Source organism: Homo sapiens, chromosome 3, assembly GCF_000001405.40.
Source record: "Homo sapiens chromosome 3, GRCh38.p14 Primary Assembly".
NCBI lineage: Eukaryota > Metazoa > Chordata > Mammalia > Primates > Hominidae > Homo > Homo sapiens.
The window spans coordinates 26679335-26696163 of record NC_000003.12 but is presented as its reverse complement, the minus strand read 5'-3'; the positions used below and the strand labels follow the sequence as shown (position 1 = coordinate 26696163).

Here is a 16829-nt window from a genome sequence, read left to right as displayed (position 1 = left end):
TAATGCCTGCATAGTACCTCAGTGAATGGGGTTATATGTTAGATCTATTTACACATTATTCTTTTGTTAGATATTTAGGTTGTCTCCCATGATTTGCTATCATAAATAATGTGAAATAAAATTATTCCATTCCTGGTCTACATCATTGAACGAGCCAGCTGATAACAAAATGGGAATACCTTTAAAATGAGAAAGGTTTGGTTACATCTGTGTTCTTGGCATCAAAGTTAAACTGTGCAGAGCTGTTCCATGGGAAGGTAACAGCCTGAGGAGGCCGAAATGCCCTCTCCTGGTTTTAGCCATTGTGGATTTTGGACATATAGGCATCTGATGAGAACCATTGTCTCAGTCCTTTTGCTCCCTTGTTAGAACAGAGCAGACCAGAAAGTCAGGGTCCTACTTTTTGGTCAAAAATATATATTTAAACACACATGTTTATCTACAGATTCTATAACATTTCTTAGAAATGGTCCACTATGTTTCCTAAGAAGAGACATTGGGGAAAAATAATGCCCTTTATGTGTTTTCTATTAAAAACGTAACTGTGCAAACACATGTATATAAACCTGTTTTTTTCAAACTGTCTGTTACAGCAAAAAAGAAAAATCAAGAAGTTTTTTTGTTTGTTTGTTTGTTTGAGATGTTGTCTGGCTCTGTCGCCCAGGCTGGACTGCAGTGGCGCGATCTCAGCTCACTGCAAGCTCCGCCTCCCGGTTTCACGCCATTCTCCTGCCTCGGCCTCCCAAGTAGCTGGGACTACAGGCGCTCACCACAATGCCCGGCTAATTTTTTGTATTTTTAGTAGAGACTGGGTTTCACCGTGTTAGCCAGGATGGTCTCGATCTCCTGACCTCGTGGTCCCCCCGCCTCGGCCCCCCAAAGTGCTGGGATTACAGGCGTGAGCCACCATGCCCAGCTGAAGTATTTTTTAAAAAATAATAGAATTAATCTAAATATTTGTCATAAAGAGATTGATTAAATAAATATGGTACATCAAAATGAATGAAGCAATCTGCAAATTCTGATAAAAAGTTGTCAAATACATATCACTGAGAGAAAAATTTGAATGTGTAATCCCATCTGTGTAAGGCAGAACAGAAGCATCTACACACACACACACACGCAAAAGCTTTAAAAGTTGTGGAAAAACAAGAACAAATTGATAATAGTTTTACCTTTAGGGGACGGTTCTGGGGGTTGATGATATTAAGGAGAATTTTTACTTTTTACCTTATATCATTTTCTATAGTCATAATTTTTCACCATGAGCACAGTCAGAATAACAACTAAGCAACAAACAAAGAGATTGGCCAGGAGGCATTGATAGACAACCTATTCCGTGTTAAGTGCTATAGAAGATAGGAAAGTATATGAGACATAGTGCCTCTTCTTACCAGTGGAGCCACCCTGGACCGTTTAAACTTTCTTGGTCTCAACAAAATGTACAGAAATCATCCAGAACCTGAAGCTAGATAAAATCAAGTTCAACTTTCATTTCTGATACCAGCTAGGAGGTCTTGGACAGGCCAACTAATTGTTCCGCATGTCAGTTTCCTCAACTAGAACTAAGAATAATGCTTATTTCATTGATTTCCGATGTGGTTCTGATAATGACTGTCTCATGGTAGATGCTTGGCAAATATTATTAGCTCTGAATACACCTTCAAAGGGATCAGAATCACATTTACATTTTCCAGGGGTTCTATGGAAAGTTAGGTGTCTGAGCGTTCTACAAATGAATATTATGAAGTCATAAGTCTGAAAAACACTCTTTCTGAGACTCACAATGGATATCAGCCTGTTAAAGGTTCTGACAGTTGCAGTAAAGTATTTATTAACCCAGATTGTCCCAAATATATTTGGCTCCCTGCTGAAGGCGTCCCCAGGTCTTCTTATTTTTATAGTGAAATCGCCCATAGAATAAAACATTGCTATTGATAAATTAATACATTCAGATTGAAATGCACAACATTTAATACTACCTCTACTACTACAATTACTACTACCAATACATTCACACTTTACCTAAATATTCTCAAAGAGTATGAGGTGACAGGTTTTGCAAATGAGGATTCTAGTTGCACTTGATCACTGTCAAGTTGCATAATATTACCATAGAGAAACACCCACCACCAACTAATGTCTATTGCAGGCAGAGAAGAAAAAATTAATAATCAATAGTTATCACTAAGGGTTATTTTTTGTTTTATTAAAGAAATGTCCCTGGACTTAAACTAGACATACTTATAAGTAAATGAAGATGAATGGACTATTGTGTTTCAATTTTATACTCTGCTATTTCCTCATCTTCAGATACCACTTTTCTTTTTGAAAAGATTATTTAATACTATTACCCTTAAAGGCTTTGAAAACCTTATAAAGCAGTAATTTTTTAAAGGACTTTGGAATTAGGCATACCTAAGTTTGTCTAACTTTGTCATTCAGCCTCTTAGTAGTTACTAGTTACTGCTAGTAATTTGAACTTATTAGTTTTGTGATTTTTAGGGCATGTTGCTTAACACTGGACCTCAACGTTTTCATCTATAAAATGGGCATGATAATATCTATTTCGCATGGTTTGATAGATTGCTTCCAAAACTGACTTCCATGATTCCTCATCTTGTATTATCCATGGTCTTTTGCAATGCAACTTTAAAGCTCCTTAAATTAACAGGTTGAGCCTATTTTCCCATTCTTTAGTCTAGATTGGGACTGTTGAGGCAGATGAGACATTCATGAGGCAGATGTGACACTATGCCAGTTCTGATCCTAGGCTTCTCCAAAAGGTCTTGCATGTTCCTGCTCTTGATCTTTTTTTTTTTTTTTTTTTTTTTTGAGACGGAGTTTCGCTCTGTCGCCCAGGCTGGAGTGCAGTGGCGCGATCTCGACTCACTGCAAGCTCCGCCTCCCGGGTTCACGCCATTCTCCTGCCTCAGCCTCCTGTGTAGCTGGGACTACAGGCACGCGCCACCATGCCCGGCTAATTTTTGTATTTTTAGTAGAGACGGGGTTTCACCGTGTTAGCCAGGATGGTCTCGATCTCCTGACCTCGTGATCCGCCCGTCTCGGCCTCCCAAAGTGCTGGGATTACAGGCGTGAGCCACCGCGCCCGGCCTGCTCTTGATCTTAGAACCCTGCCCAGCCATCATGTGAACAAGCCCTGGCTAGCCTGCTGGATGTTAAGAAACCATATAAAGGAGAAGCCTGTTGTTCTAGCTGAGGTATCCCAGCCTAGAGCCAGCCACACTCCAAACATATGGGAAAACCAGCCTGATCATTAGAGCCAACTACTTGATCTGCAGCTGACCATAGGCTAAGGAGCCAAGACTAGAAGAACCACCAAGCTACTCACGGATTTGTGAGCAATAATAAATGCCACTGAATTTGTAAATACTTGTTATGTAGCGAAAGCTAACTGATACACATGGCTATTTTACCAATTAAATAAGTTAATATATTTATATTTATGTTTTTATCACAAACCCTGATTAATATTTGTTTCACACATATACACTAACAACTAACAGAACAGTATGCTTTTTAATAAAAGTATAATAGAAACCTCATTTTAAAATTTTGTAATTGCTCAATGCTGAAGGACAATGCAGTTCCATTGTCATTAGATACCAAATTATTTAATTCTATTTGCTGACCATGACAGTCAATAATGTTCTAAGTTGTTATGGTAACTTTCAAGCAGCTGAGAAAAACTGATACACAGATGAAAGATATCCATGCACGTCTAAGGTGTAATCTGAATAATAAATTTAAATATTGTTTGCTCACATATCCCTGGTGTCTAGCACAGTTCCTGGTGTGGAATTAGTGCTGTATTAGTATAGTCCAGGGGTTAAGACCAGGGACTCAGAAGTCAGACTATCTGAGTCTAAACCCAAGTTTCCATATTAACCTTGCCTTACTCAGTTTCTCCACCTGTAAAACGAGTGTAACCGCAGTACTTATTTCTTCTATTGGTAGAAAGGACTAAGTGATATTATTTAGGCAAAATAGAATGATACCTGGCAGAATAAGTACAAAATAAATATTAGCTATTTCTCTTTGTTGAGTGATTTTTGTTTTAAGCATACTCTTGGAAATAGAGCCTGTGTGGCATATAGTCATCTTAGTGGACATGTGTGGATAGCCATCCTAGTGCCTGTTGATTCTCTGCAGCTCTCAGAAGCTCTTTTGCAAACACGAAGACAAACATCAAAGAGACAACTACAAACGAAGCAAAAATTCTAGAGATTCAGTGAAGAATTTAAATGACATGTCTTGGCAATTCTGATGAAACAGAACTGACATAAATAACATTCTGTTAATTCAGGAATATTGCCAGCATGTGGATAGTATAAGGTTCTCACCCAATATTATGTCTGCAAAAGGCTTCCATCAAATGGAGCCCACTGTCCATTATCCACGACTGAAGAGTAGGCTATCAAGAGAGTGCTCTCCCCCATTTCATTTTGACCATTGGTCCCCCAACAATCCTTGTCCAGAACTGAGGCATCATGCAAATTCTCACTGAACTATCCAGACTAATGACCTAAGACTGACACCTGGATGCTGATTTCAATTAGAAATGGATGGAGAAGTTATTTTCACACAATACTTATCCTTCCTTCCCGTTTTTATTTCCTAATCAGGAAGTCAAAAATCTGGTTACAGAGTCAGTGAGGTGGGTAAGCAGCTTGGAGTTGAGACAGCTTACACCCATGAAGCATGAAATAGAGAGCCAAATTTTCAAGAATCATTTCAAAACAAAGTTGCTCTTGTGAATCTCATCATTTTTCTTTTCCAGAACCACTGTCCATCAAATCAAATGGAATAACTACCCCTCCAATTTGTTGGTAGAAGTCAAGTAGTGTATAAATCATCCCTAACCTTCATATAATTTGTCCTTGATTTCAGATTTAGATTCTTCATTCTCTTAAGCATCCTAATGTAAATTTTCAAATTTCATCTTCTGAATGATCACACGGGAGATCATGTAAGGTCAAAGTTTTCCTCATTTGATTTATCCTGTCTCATATATATATATATATATATATATATATACACACACACACACATATACACACACACATATACATATATATATGTATGTACATATATACATATATACACACATATATATATATGTAAGTATATAAAAGCTTAAGTCCTTGTTCCCTAAAGAAAATGACAGAATGGAAAAGCCAATCAACTAATATTTGTAGAACAATGAAGTCATACAAAATGTTGCCTAAATAGTATCAATGGCAATGTAATTCTAACAGTAAGATAATCATATAGGCTGCCTCCTGTTTACCTAATTATGCCAATACATAACTAGGCAACCCTTTTAAACCAATTATTTGGATATGGTCCAGAAATGTTCTTGCCTCTCTGTTATCACATGAATAGTTTATCTTCTCAGTTAGATATAGATTTTTTCCAACCAAGAGAAATCTTCCTTACATAGTAAGGAAACCCCCAAGAACAAAAAAGAAAATCAGAACTGAGATTACCACCCATCTTTTCTATACTGTGCAGTTAGTCGAAGTTCCACAGAGAATAATGTTGCTCTGAGTTGATTTTCCTCTGGGAAGCACCCGGAAAAATTAACAGCTACCTAGGGACTTAGCTTTTGTCAACAATGAACCACATAAAACTTTCCAAACCCATTTAATTGTCTGCACGATGCAGTAAGACTTCCCCTGTCTCCTTGCTCAGACATAACACACCCATTTAAATAAAACCAGATTGGCATTCTCCAACCTCGCATTTATTCTCTCTTGGTGAACCAAATGGCAGGTAAGATAAGTAAAGACAGTAGAATCCATGCAGGCAAAACTAAGAAAGTCAAGCAGAGGAGAGACAGCCATTTCCAGAACAAGATAATGTAAATCTTCATCTAGCCTTCTTTAGATACGTGCACAATCTTTTAAAAATAGACATCATCATATTAACATGAAGTCACAAATTTTATGGCCTCTGAGGTAGTTTCAAGAATCATGACCAAATTGCTACCACATCAAACCAATTTTTACCCATATTCAGCTCAACAAACCTGTTTTTGGTCAGGTACACCCATGTTTTACATTTTTACCATGCCTATGGCTTTTGCTTTGTGCAGAGTCACAGCATGTAAGAGGAAGAAGGTGGTGGGGAACCAGGTGGGGTCTCCTCAATTCCCTGATTTAGTAACATTCAGTCTAAGCAGAGGCACAATCCACCCTGAGCATTTCCTCCTCTTCGTCTTTCCAATTCACCAACACCAAAAGTCACAGATGGGAGGACTGGACAGAGCAGAGCAAGACACCCATGTGTTGGGGGGCCTGCGGACCATCTGACTGTTACAGCTGTGGGCATCCGCAGAGCTGCCTTGGAGCAAATAATATAGTCTGTGCTCAGAATATGTTTGCTCAATGAAGATCTGGATGGCTAAAAGATGATGGGAGCCTCTCAAGAACCTAAAAGTCCTGGGGGTGGGCCACTCTACCCTTAACAATGCAGATTTTGCCACCTCTTTATGGAAGTCCATATGGAAATGGAGAAAGAGCAGGAGAGAGGGTGAGCCACTAATTACCGGCTCCTCCTTGCACAATCAGGTTCAAAACAAAAGGAGGAAGCTTCTCACATTGGGGAAATGGAAACAACAGTATTTAATTCATGAAAACTAAAATCTGGAAAGATGAAGAGGATGACACCTCTGTTCTCCGGGAAAGCCACCCAGGGATGGCCACTGTCAGAAGGAGGTCAGATTCTGTGAGGAGGTCACCATTGTTTAACCTGTCAGGACTGGTCCTGGTGTCCCAGATGCACTGTTACTGAACCTGTGATGCTAGCCTGGCCTACAAGTTTGAGAAACACCTAATCAAAACATGAGGGTAAAATATTTACAAAGAGTGAGAGTCAGGGAGAGACTGAATGTGTACTAAGTAAATTTTTCACTTTAAATGTACCAGCATTTCTCTCTTTTCCTCTACTTTGTCTCCAACTTAGAAGAAAAGACATCATTTTCAACCCTTAGGGAGATGGAGTGTCTGAGAGTCTATAAGGGCTCCTCATGCTCAGCTGCTGGAACTCCCTGGAGTCTAGGAAACATCGCAGGTCTGCAGACACTGAGGTCTCTCCACCTGTGGAAAGTGGCACTCATCCTATTATGGGATAACTGAGGCCTTGGTGACGTTAAAAGCTGATTCTTCTCCTTTGCAGGTAGTAGATTCTTATCTGTTTGGGAATCTAGGCACATCTGTTTACAAGTGACCAACAATTATTTGTGGAAATGCTGTGCTTGCCATTCTACAGCCACAAATCAAAGTGGTTAAAAACTGTACTCTAGCCAGGGATTATGGGGGTGAGATGGTGATATGATCTGGATCTGTGTCCCCACTCAAATCTCATTTTCAATTGTAATCCTCAATGTTGGAGGTGGGGCCTGGTGGGAGGTGATTGGAACACGGGGGAGGATCTTTCGTGAATGGTTTAGCACCATCCCCTTGGTGCTGTTCTCATGATGATGAGTTCTCATGAGATCTGGTTGTTGAAAAGTGTGTGGCATCTCCCTCTCCTTCTTCCTGCTCTGGCCATGTAAGATATGCCTGATTCCCCTTTGCTTTGTGCCATGATTGAAAGTTTCCTGAGGCCTCCCCAGAAGCTGAGCAGATGCCAGCATCATGCTTCCTGTACAGCCTAAAGAACCATGAGCAAATTAAACTTCTTTTCGTTATAAATGACCCAGTCTCAGGTATTTTTTATAGAAATCTAGGAATAGGCTAATACAGATGGGAACAGTCATTATTTTTTATTGGTGCTGGCAAATATTCCCTGACCAAGTCGAACTTTCAACCTTGGCACAAAGCAGTAGCAAATATTATTCTTTCTGCGGTTCTTTATTTAAAATGTGTGCCTGCTCTTCTCTGTAAGGGAACATTCTTTTCTGCTGACCAGAAAAATATGGATGCCTAGATATTTAGAAAGAGCTGTGGATGTATTTTAATTATTTTTTACTCAACGTAATTCATGGGTTCACATCTGGATATATCTTTATAGGTTCGTCCCTTTTCTATTAATCTGTTATTATAAAACTTCCATGTTATGTCCTCCCATGTGCACCAGGGATACCTGAGCCTCCTTCTGATGTAACCAAGATGGAAGCTTCAATGAGGTGTCTTTATGTCACCAAAGCAAGGAGGAATCTGACAAAAGTCTTCCCAGAGGCTACTTGTGAAGCATCTCCTTGTTTGGTGGTTCTGTCCAGTGGCTGCTGTGGGATGAGATAAAGCTGCAGGAGGCAGAGGAGCCAAGGCTAATTCTTATTCAAACTATGGATTATCTCAACCCTTGATACTCTTCCCATTCCATCTGTCTCCTCAGTCCTGGGTCATTTTCATTGCTCATTATCACCAGCACCAGAGGGAAGACAGAGGAAATGAAGGAAGTTGAAATTCAAATGAATCGATTCTACCACTTGTTAGCAGCTCAGCTCACAAGTACACAAAGGGAGGAGGCTGCAGCTCTTCTGTGGGTTTCAATTCTCCTTGCTATTCTTGTACCCCATGCTGCCAGGCAATATTGAGTGGGCTGTATGGAAACGATCTCTGGGATGAAAAAAGAAGTGGGGGTAGCTCCCTCTAACAGTAGCTTCTTCAAAGAAAAGAAAAAGCAATTATATGCTCAGCGGCAGCGTGCCACACAGAGAAGCCCAAATTTTATTAAACAAACTCATATTTGGAAGCATATTATCCCCTCAGAACTAGAGAGAAAGGAATGCTTAGAACATATTTAGAGCAATTATAATGCAGAGGATACACTGATTGTCATAGCAGCAAAAATTTTAAATAAAGAGGACATTTCCTTAAAAGATTATGCCAAGGACATCAAAAGCAGAAGCAAGCAAAGGCTGTATCAAAATCCTAAAGGATAATGAAAAGGAAGAAAAATACATTAGGACCTTTAAAACCACTGTTTCCAACACATGTAGAATGGCAGGGAGAGAATAGAACCCTGGAACCAATGGAATTGTCTTTTTCTCCCTGCACTTATAAGAAAGGGTTGGACTACAGTCACCAATGCCCTGTCCTGTTCTCAGTGGTGGACATTGTGAGGCACCACCTAGATGACCCTGCAACAAAGGGTTTGCCCCAGCTTCTGGGAGTGTTGGCAGCAGAGAGCTTTCAATTAGTGACCCATTCGGGGATTGTCTCTGTGGCAGAGAGACACTTTGCCTTCCAGAAACAGCCCACATCCAATGACTGACCAGTGGGGGAGGATGAAGGTCTAGCTCCCTCAGCCTAATATGGGACAACTCTGAAGGACCAGTCTAGATCCAGAGCTGGCTGAGAGGTTGGCTGAGGCTGTGGTTGGTTCTGCATCACAGCTTATCTTCTCCTTCTTGCCATTCCTTCCCACCCCATTCACAAATGTTGATCCCAAGGGTACTCCTTAATAAACCTCTTGCATGCCAAATCCCATCTCAGAGTCTTCTTCCCTAGAATCTCAACATGCAACAGTTAATAGTCACTAATCTTTGCACACTCTGGCTTTTTTTATTTTCTTAACACTTTTTTTCTGAGCTGAATATTTACTTTTTTCAATGAGGTTGGTATATACTCCAAGAAGTTATGTAACACATCAAAGAAGAAATGCAGGTTGGTTGGTGGGGGATGCAGGAGAGAAAAAGGCTATGAATGATCCAAATGGAAATTGGATAAAAAGATTGGGCTTCAAATTAGATATATAAAGAAGCAGTGTTGAAGTTACCATAAGGAGCATGGAAAATTAAGAAATAACCATTTACCGGCCGGGCGCGGTGGCTCACGCCTGTAATCCCAGCACTTTGGGAGGCCAAGGCAGGCGGATCACGAGGCCAGGAGATCGAGACAATCCTGGCTAACATGGAGAAACCCCATCTTTACTAAAAATACAAAAAATTAGCCGGGCGTGGTGGCGGGCACCTGTAGTCCCAGCTACTTGGGAGGCTGAGGCAGGAGAATGGCGTGAACCCGGGAGGCGGAGCTTGCAGTGAGCCACAATTGCACCACTGCACTCCCGCCTGGGTGACAGAGTGAGACTCCATCTCGAAAAAAAAAAGAAAGGAAAATAAATAACCATTTACCTAGGCAAAGCAAGGGGTATAGTCTATATGAATCCTATACCACGGCCGAGTCTATTAATGAACAAGTAACTTTTTTTAACTAAGCCTAAGAACTTGGTATTTCCTATCTGAGGTAGCTACTGCCAATAGAATCTTAGAGAATGTTTGCCACCAGAAAAAGATGTCATAACTGAGAGACTGGACTAAGCTATTGATGGAGCATATCTGGGCATGTGCCCCCACTGAACCACTAAATGACATTAGACACAGTATTTAAACCCCAAGTCTGAAAGGAGGAAAGCAGGCAACTTGCTCAGTGAATAGAGATTCATGAAACTAAGATCTTTCTGAATTATTGTATATGAAATTTCCATCAACTGCACTGCCTAAGTAAATTAAGGTATAGTCATAAAATAGTAATAGTAGTTTTTAAAAATGAGGTATATAGATATATATATATATATATACACACACACATATATATATATGAGTGAAGCTTGTATATATTTGAAGAATATATGTGAATATATATATATATATATATATATATATATATATAGAGAGAGAGAGAGAGAGAGAGAGAGAGAGAGAGAGAGGGAGAGAGTCTACCATATCTTAGTTGGGTATCCTCCTTCCACAAACTAAGATTCAGAGAAATGTAATGACTGGTCCTTGGTCACATACTAGTAAGATAGGTAGCATTTTGACAAGCAGAGACTGAAGGGAGGTGATCATTTTAGAAAACAAGAAAGTCAAGTAAAATCAAGAAGGCAAAAATAAATGAACAAACATGAAACCCGCCAAAAAACAACAACAATAACCCCCATGTGGGCCAGGCACAGTACCTCATGCCTGCAATCCCAGCATTTTGAGAGGCCAAGGTGGGTGGATCACCTGAGGTCGGGAGTTCGAGACCAGCCTGACCAACTTGTTGAAACCCCATCTCTACTAGAAATACAAAATTAGCTGGGTGTGGTGGCACACGCCCATAATCCCAGCTACGCAGGAGGCTCAGGCAGGAGAATTGGTTGAAGCCTGGAGGTGGAGATTGCAGTGAGCTGAGATCGCACCACTGCACTCCAGCCTGGGCAACAAGAGCAAAACTCCATTTAAAATAAAATAAAATAAAATAAAATAAAATAAAGAAACCTGTGTTTGAGTGACTGCAAGCACTCCATTGTATGTGAGAATGGAGTAACAGAGATCTGCTACTGGTGAACTCAGGGATCTGAATGAATAATGAGTTCCACTCTGAACATATTACATATGTTTATTGAAAGTCAGTGCTATGGTTTCAATGTTTGTCCCCTCCAAAACACGTGTTGACATTTAACTGCTATCCACAGTATTAAGAGGTGATACCTTTGAGAGGTGATTAGGCTATGAGGGCTTTGCCCTCCTGGGTGGATTAATGCCATTAAAAAAGGACAAGTTTGGCCCCCTTTTAGTCTCTTTGCCCTTCTGCCTTCTGCCATGTGGTGGTGCAGCAAGAGGGCCCTTGCAAGATGCCAGCACCTAGATCTTGGACTTCTCAGTATCCAGAACTGTGAGAAAATAAGCTTCTGTTCATTATAAGTTGCCCAGTCTCGGGTGTTCTGTCATAATGCACAAAATGGACTAAGGCAGTCAGTAAGAGAGCTGAAGTAAAGAACCAGAAATTGTCAGAAAGGAGATAGAAAAGAGTAAGCACAGATGCAGCACATATCATGGTCAAGGCAAGGATAGTATCATAATTTTCCAACCAACTTGCCCATTTCTGAATATCGCATAGTCCTTTAAAAGCCATATAGATTGAGGCTGACTTAATTTCAGTGGGAACCAGTGGGATTGACAGTTACATACAATCTACTTTCACCCCTGGTTCCTTGGATACTATCAGAAAGCACAAAGCTTTGTGAAAGCACAGAGAGGGCTGGAACTTTCCCAACTTTGTTTTTAAAAAACGTGGAGAATAAAGATTCCAAGGAATTGTTCATCCAACCGTGATCCTGACTGAATAACAACTTGAGCAAATCATCTAAATTGGCTGATTCACCAGGAGAAACGGGACAAGTCCACAGCAGACAATTCAGCCAGAAGGACCCTGAGAAAATATTGAGAGAAACAAGTCCTGTGGACAGAGGATCAGCTTTTCTCACACATCAATATGACTTATGCTCAAAAAGGAACCCAAAGAGCTGGCGCCAAGATTTGTCTGACAAAGTGCTATAAAGTAAGAACAGAGATTTATTCCTGAGAAATTGCGCTGCAGATATCTCAGGAAAAGTGTGCATCCTATCTCTACACAAATAAATGAGGTTAGGGGAGGTAGACAGAAAATGGAAAGCTGGCAAGGCTGCTGTCTTAGGCCAGAAGAATTGATAACTAATGGGCTGAACAGAGTGGTGGAGTGGTTCTGCTTTGAGAAAGTAGTATTTCTAGTTTCATTGTTTCAATAGGGTGCAACCTTATGCATGTATGGTTCCACCCAGCCACAGCCTTCCTAACCTCATGGACAAGGACTTTGAATACGGCTGTGCTTTTATTCCTCATTTGAGTTCAACATCCCCTGGTGAGGACCTGCCATAAACCTCTGCCTCCTGGGGATCCAACTCATAGCATATCTTTTCCAACCCCCTTGTTTATTTCTCTAGACCTTGCTAGAGCTTATGTTTGGCCTAAACTGGTGGGCCCCAAAGAAATATGATGCTACAACTGCTGAAATCTGGCTTTGCCAATATTTGGATATTTCAGCTGCTGCTACAATTTACCCAACAGATCAGATGGTTGTGGTACTGAAATGCCATCGTGTAGTAAAGTGGTCCTATAATGTAGTTTAAACTGCTGTCTCCTTCCTTGATGGGACAAAGGATGCCTCTGGCCTGTAGTGTGATTTTAAACTGCTGCCCTCTTCCTTGATGGGACAAGGGATGCACATGCACCATAGCCTCTTAGTTTCTCTTTCCTTGGTCTTGGCCTTTCCTAAACTCCTCCCATTCCCAAATGGTGCCCTAGAAGTCCCAGAACATCTTGTAACCAAGTAAGTGTGACTGGAATAAAAAAGATCTCAGAATTGAGCTTCCGGGACTTAAAAACTGGCATAAAAACTATAGATAGGATTGTTTTTGTGTGTCATTCTTACATGCTGCAGAATGCCTGTGAGAGAAACACAGGGTATAAATTAGAAAATCTCAGATTTTACATTGTTTGGGGTAAACAAAATGGAAAAGTGAAACAGGAAATAGAGAGCTAATTGATGTAGAAGAGGAAAACACAGCAATTTTTTGACACTTTTAATGTGCTGCAGCTGAATGCCACATGCAGTATGCAATGGGAAGGGGAAGACTATCCACTGAGGCAATGCCACTTTCATGTGAGAACCCTGAGAGGGGAGCTGTGCAGAGGCCCAGTGGTACTTAAAAGTGAATGACAGCCCCACCAAAAGGAGCATTTAGTTTTTCTCCAGGCTGGGGATTGTCTTTCTGGTGGCACTTGGCCAGGAAACATACTTTCCCATCTCAATGACAGGACCTCCTGGGGGAAAATAAATAGATCTTCCCACCAGGAACAAAGGCAAAAGGAAATGTAGTTATGAATAACTACAGTTATTCAGTAAATAAGGTGACTTGAGACAGCAACCAAAGCAGTTCTTTCCTGCAAGTGACAATGTATATACGCATGAAAGTTTGAGGTTGGAGAGGTGGCAAGAGAAGCAAAGGAGAAAGGGGCAGTGAACTTCAGAGTTTGCCAGGAAAAAGGTGGCAGTAATGAGAGGCAAGCTATGTGTGTAGCGGTTCTCAAGCCTAGGTAGTGTGTAAAAAAAACAAAAGGAGCTTGAAAAACAGTTGGACAAGAGGAAAGGGCAGCTACAAAGCTATTGGCAAGTCTTGTGGAGAAGGGATTGGGAGTTAACCACAGTACCCTCTTATTCGCGGTTTTGCTCTCCATGGTTTCGGTTACCCCTGGTCAACCATAGTCCCCAGATAGGTGGATACAGTATCATGAGTTATTCTGAGAGAGAGAGGGAGAGACCACATTCATATAAATTTTATTAAGAATATTTTTATAATCATTATATTTTATTATTATTTATTGTTAATATCTTATTGTGTCTAATTTATAAATTAAACTTTATCGTAGGATATAATATGACAAGAAATGTATACACAAAAACTTGTATGTATGGAAGAAACACAGCATATGTAGGGTTTAGTACTATTCATGGCTTCAGGCATCTGCTGGGGGTTTTGGAATGTATTCCCTAAGGGTAAGTGATGACTACTATATTCAATTCAAGAGGCTTTGGCTTATTTTAGAAATACTTTTGTTTTTACCAGATCTATCAACCATCTGGTTGCTACTCTAGTGCCTGACAGTGATTGACATTAATGATAATATAGTGATAAGAATAATTATTATAATTGTAGTGGCTGACATTTATTCGGCCCTTATTTGGGACTATAGGCTTTATACACTTCATGTTATCCTATTTCACCTCCAGAGCTACCCTGAAAGATATGAATCACTATCATCCCCTTTTACAGATAAGAAAAATCAAGTCTCAGAGAAGCTTGCTTGAATTATTAATAATTGCTAAGCCTGATTTCAATCCAGATCTGCCAATTCTAGAGCCTGAGCTCATAGACATTATGGAATATTCTCTCTTGCTGAGCAGAGACAATGAGGTTTATGTCTGTTCTTTCCTAGTAGACTGTGAGGAAGAGAGGTTGCATGTGCTACTAATATGTTCTCATAAGTATATTTAATTTAGCCTTAGTTTTCAAATCAATTTCCCTGTTAAAACTACATATTAAATAGGACACATTTTTCTCCCCACGAAATCAACACCTATAATTATGTTCATTAATACAATTCAGTGTGATCCCAAAGGATTCGCATTGTTAATTATGTCTAAAAGCACTTCCATAAACATCAAAAGAACAATAAAAAGTACAAGCAATGTCAATAAGAACAGAAACTATATATTATTTCCAAACTATCCTTCCTTTCTTCTTCCTCCCTCAAAATCTACTTTTTTAAAAAGCCTACTCCAGACCACAATAATTCAGTTGTCTTTTGTAGTATATAAGTGACAAAAATAAATATTTGAGAGAACAAAATAACAGATGTTTCTCTTCCCTGTCCAATGTTACCTTTGGTCCTTGGCTTACAAAACTAAATTCTATGATTAATAATGATATAGGAATGATAACACCTTCTTTCTAGATTAGGATGCTTTTCTGAAATATTTGGAAATCTGTCTTTTAGGATATGCCAAAATAAATCCCCTGTCTGGGCTAGACTATACTTTGTATCTTTTGGTCACAATGAAACAAAGTTGTTGGAGACAAGGAGGGAAAAATCAGCTATAGAGTTTCCTTTACCAAATGCAATGCCAAATAATCTTGGCATATTTTATGCACAGGCTTATGATATTCTGTGTGAAGATATGGGAAGTCAATTGTTTGTTTGGACAATACTGGGATGTAGAGTAGGAATTGCACGCTGTGACATGGAATGACGGAGAGGCGTTGGGGAACTACTGAGGTGTAATACGTGTGACACTTCTGGGCTACCCTACCCACAAATGGATGCAATATAAAATTCTATTTCCCAGACACCTTGGGGAAATTTACAGTCTTTCTTTGCTTGTGGCATTAGACCTCAAATAGGAGAAATCCTGTAAGAACGTTCTTTTACTTTATTTCTAAAACAGAGATACAAGCCATTTCCTAAATAGATTAATGAGACAAATATTCCAAAAGCACAACTTAACAAGATTCCTAAACATAGAAACTTCAAGAAGAGAATTTATACATTTAATTATTCCCCTCTCAATGGGTGTTTTTACTGGGAAGTGGGGGTGGAGAGGTGGTATTGGAAAGGCTGGGAAGCACCTGTGCCTGTCGGGCGGGCTTTGTAATATTTGCCCTTCCCTGGACTGTGGACCAGCAGCATCTGCATCACCTGGGAGAGTCCTAGAAATACTGAATTTTAAGCCCTGTCTCAGACCTACTGTGTCAGAATCTGCATTTTCACAAGATCTGGGAAATTTGTTGCACATGAAAGTTTGAATCGCTTTGCTTAGGCCTCCTCTGCAGGCTGAAGAAGAAAAGCAAGTGAGCTCTGTAGAGGATGGGGTAGTGGCCAATGAAGAAGATGAAGCTCAGGGATTCCGTGTTCTCTGTTATGTGACACACCTTTTTTCTCCTAACCCAAATCCTTTCATCACTCCTTCTCATCATTTATTTGCTCATTTAACAGATAGTTTCTTATGAGCCTCCTACATGCCAGGGACTGTTCTTGATGTTGAGCCTACAGCAGAGAACACAACAGACAAGGTTTCTGCCCTCATAAAGCTCCACATTCTGGTGGAGGAGGGCAGGGAGGACAGGTGACACCCAAATAAATGATGTAATGTCAGGAGAAGTAATAACTACCAAGCGGAATAACAACAAAGCAGAATAAAAGCATGGAACATGTTGCAGTGGATGGTGCTATTTTAAATAGGAAGGTTAGTAGAAGCCTCCCCAGGGAGGTAACACTTGAACAGAGAACTGACTGAAGTGAGGAAACAATCTTTGAAGACAGTGAAAGGTACAGAGCTCCAGGAGAAGGAACACCATGTACCAAGACCCTGAGCTACCCTCAACTTCTTTGAAGAAAAGTGAAAAGTTGAGTGTGACTGCAGCTAAGCAGGCAGAGGCACAGTGGTAGAGACCGGCTTGGTGAGGCCATCAGGGAGACCATGGAGATCTCAAATACTATG

At 40.2% G+C, this 16829-nt stretch overlaps 1 protein-coding gene across 9 annotated transcripts in view, besides 1 other annotated feature; it reads right to left on the bottom strand.

Annotated features, from left to right (window-relative positions):
• Window positions 1-16829, bottom strand: part of LRRC3B (leucine rich repeat containing 3B) — an 88005-nt gene that overhangs the window by 14613 nt on the left and 56563 nt on the right. For 2 of the 9 annotated variants that reach the window (NM_001317811.2, NM_001395645.1), the window contains exon 1: window positions 1395-1659. The exons of 6 other annotated variants lie outside the window; for them this stretch is intronic. The gene's annotated coding sequence lies outside the window, so the exon portion shown is untranslated. One more of the 9 variants, XM_011533332.4, reaches the window with a different exon arrangement.
• Window positions 9759-9967: a silencer, noted in NCBI's record as "fragment chr3:26727688-26727896 (GRCh37/hg19 assembly coordinates)". NCBI's record gives its function as "represses an EF-1alpha promoter that drives an FKBP-Casp9 reporter gene in an ReSE screen in K562 erythroleukemia cells {active_cell/tissue: K562}" and the evidence as "EXISTENCE:reporter gene assay evidence [ECO:0000049][PMID:32094911]".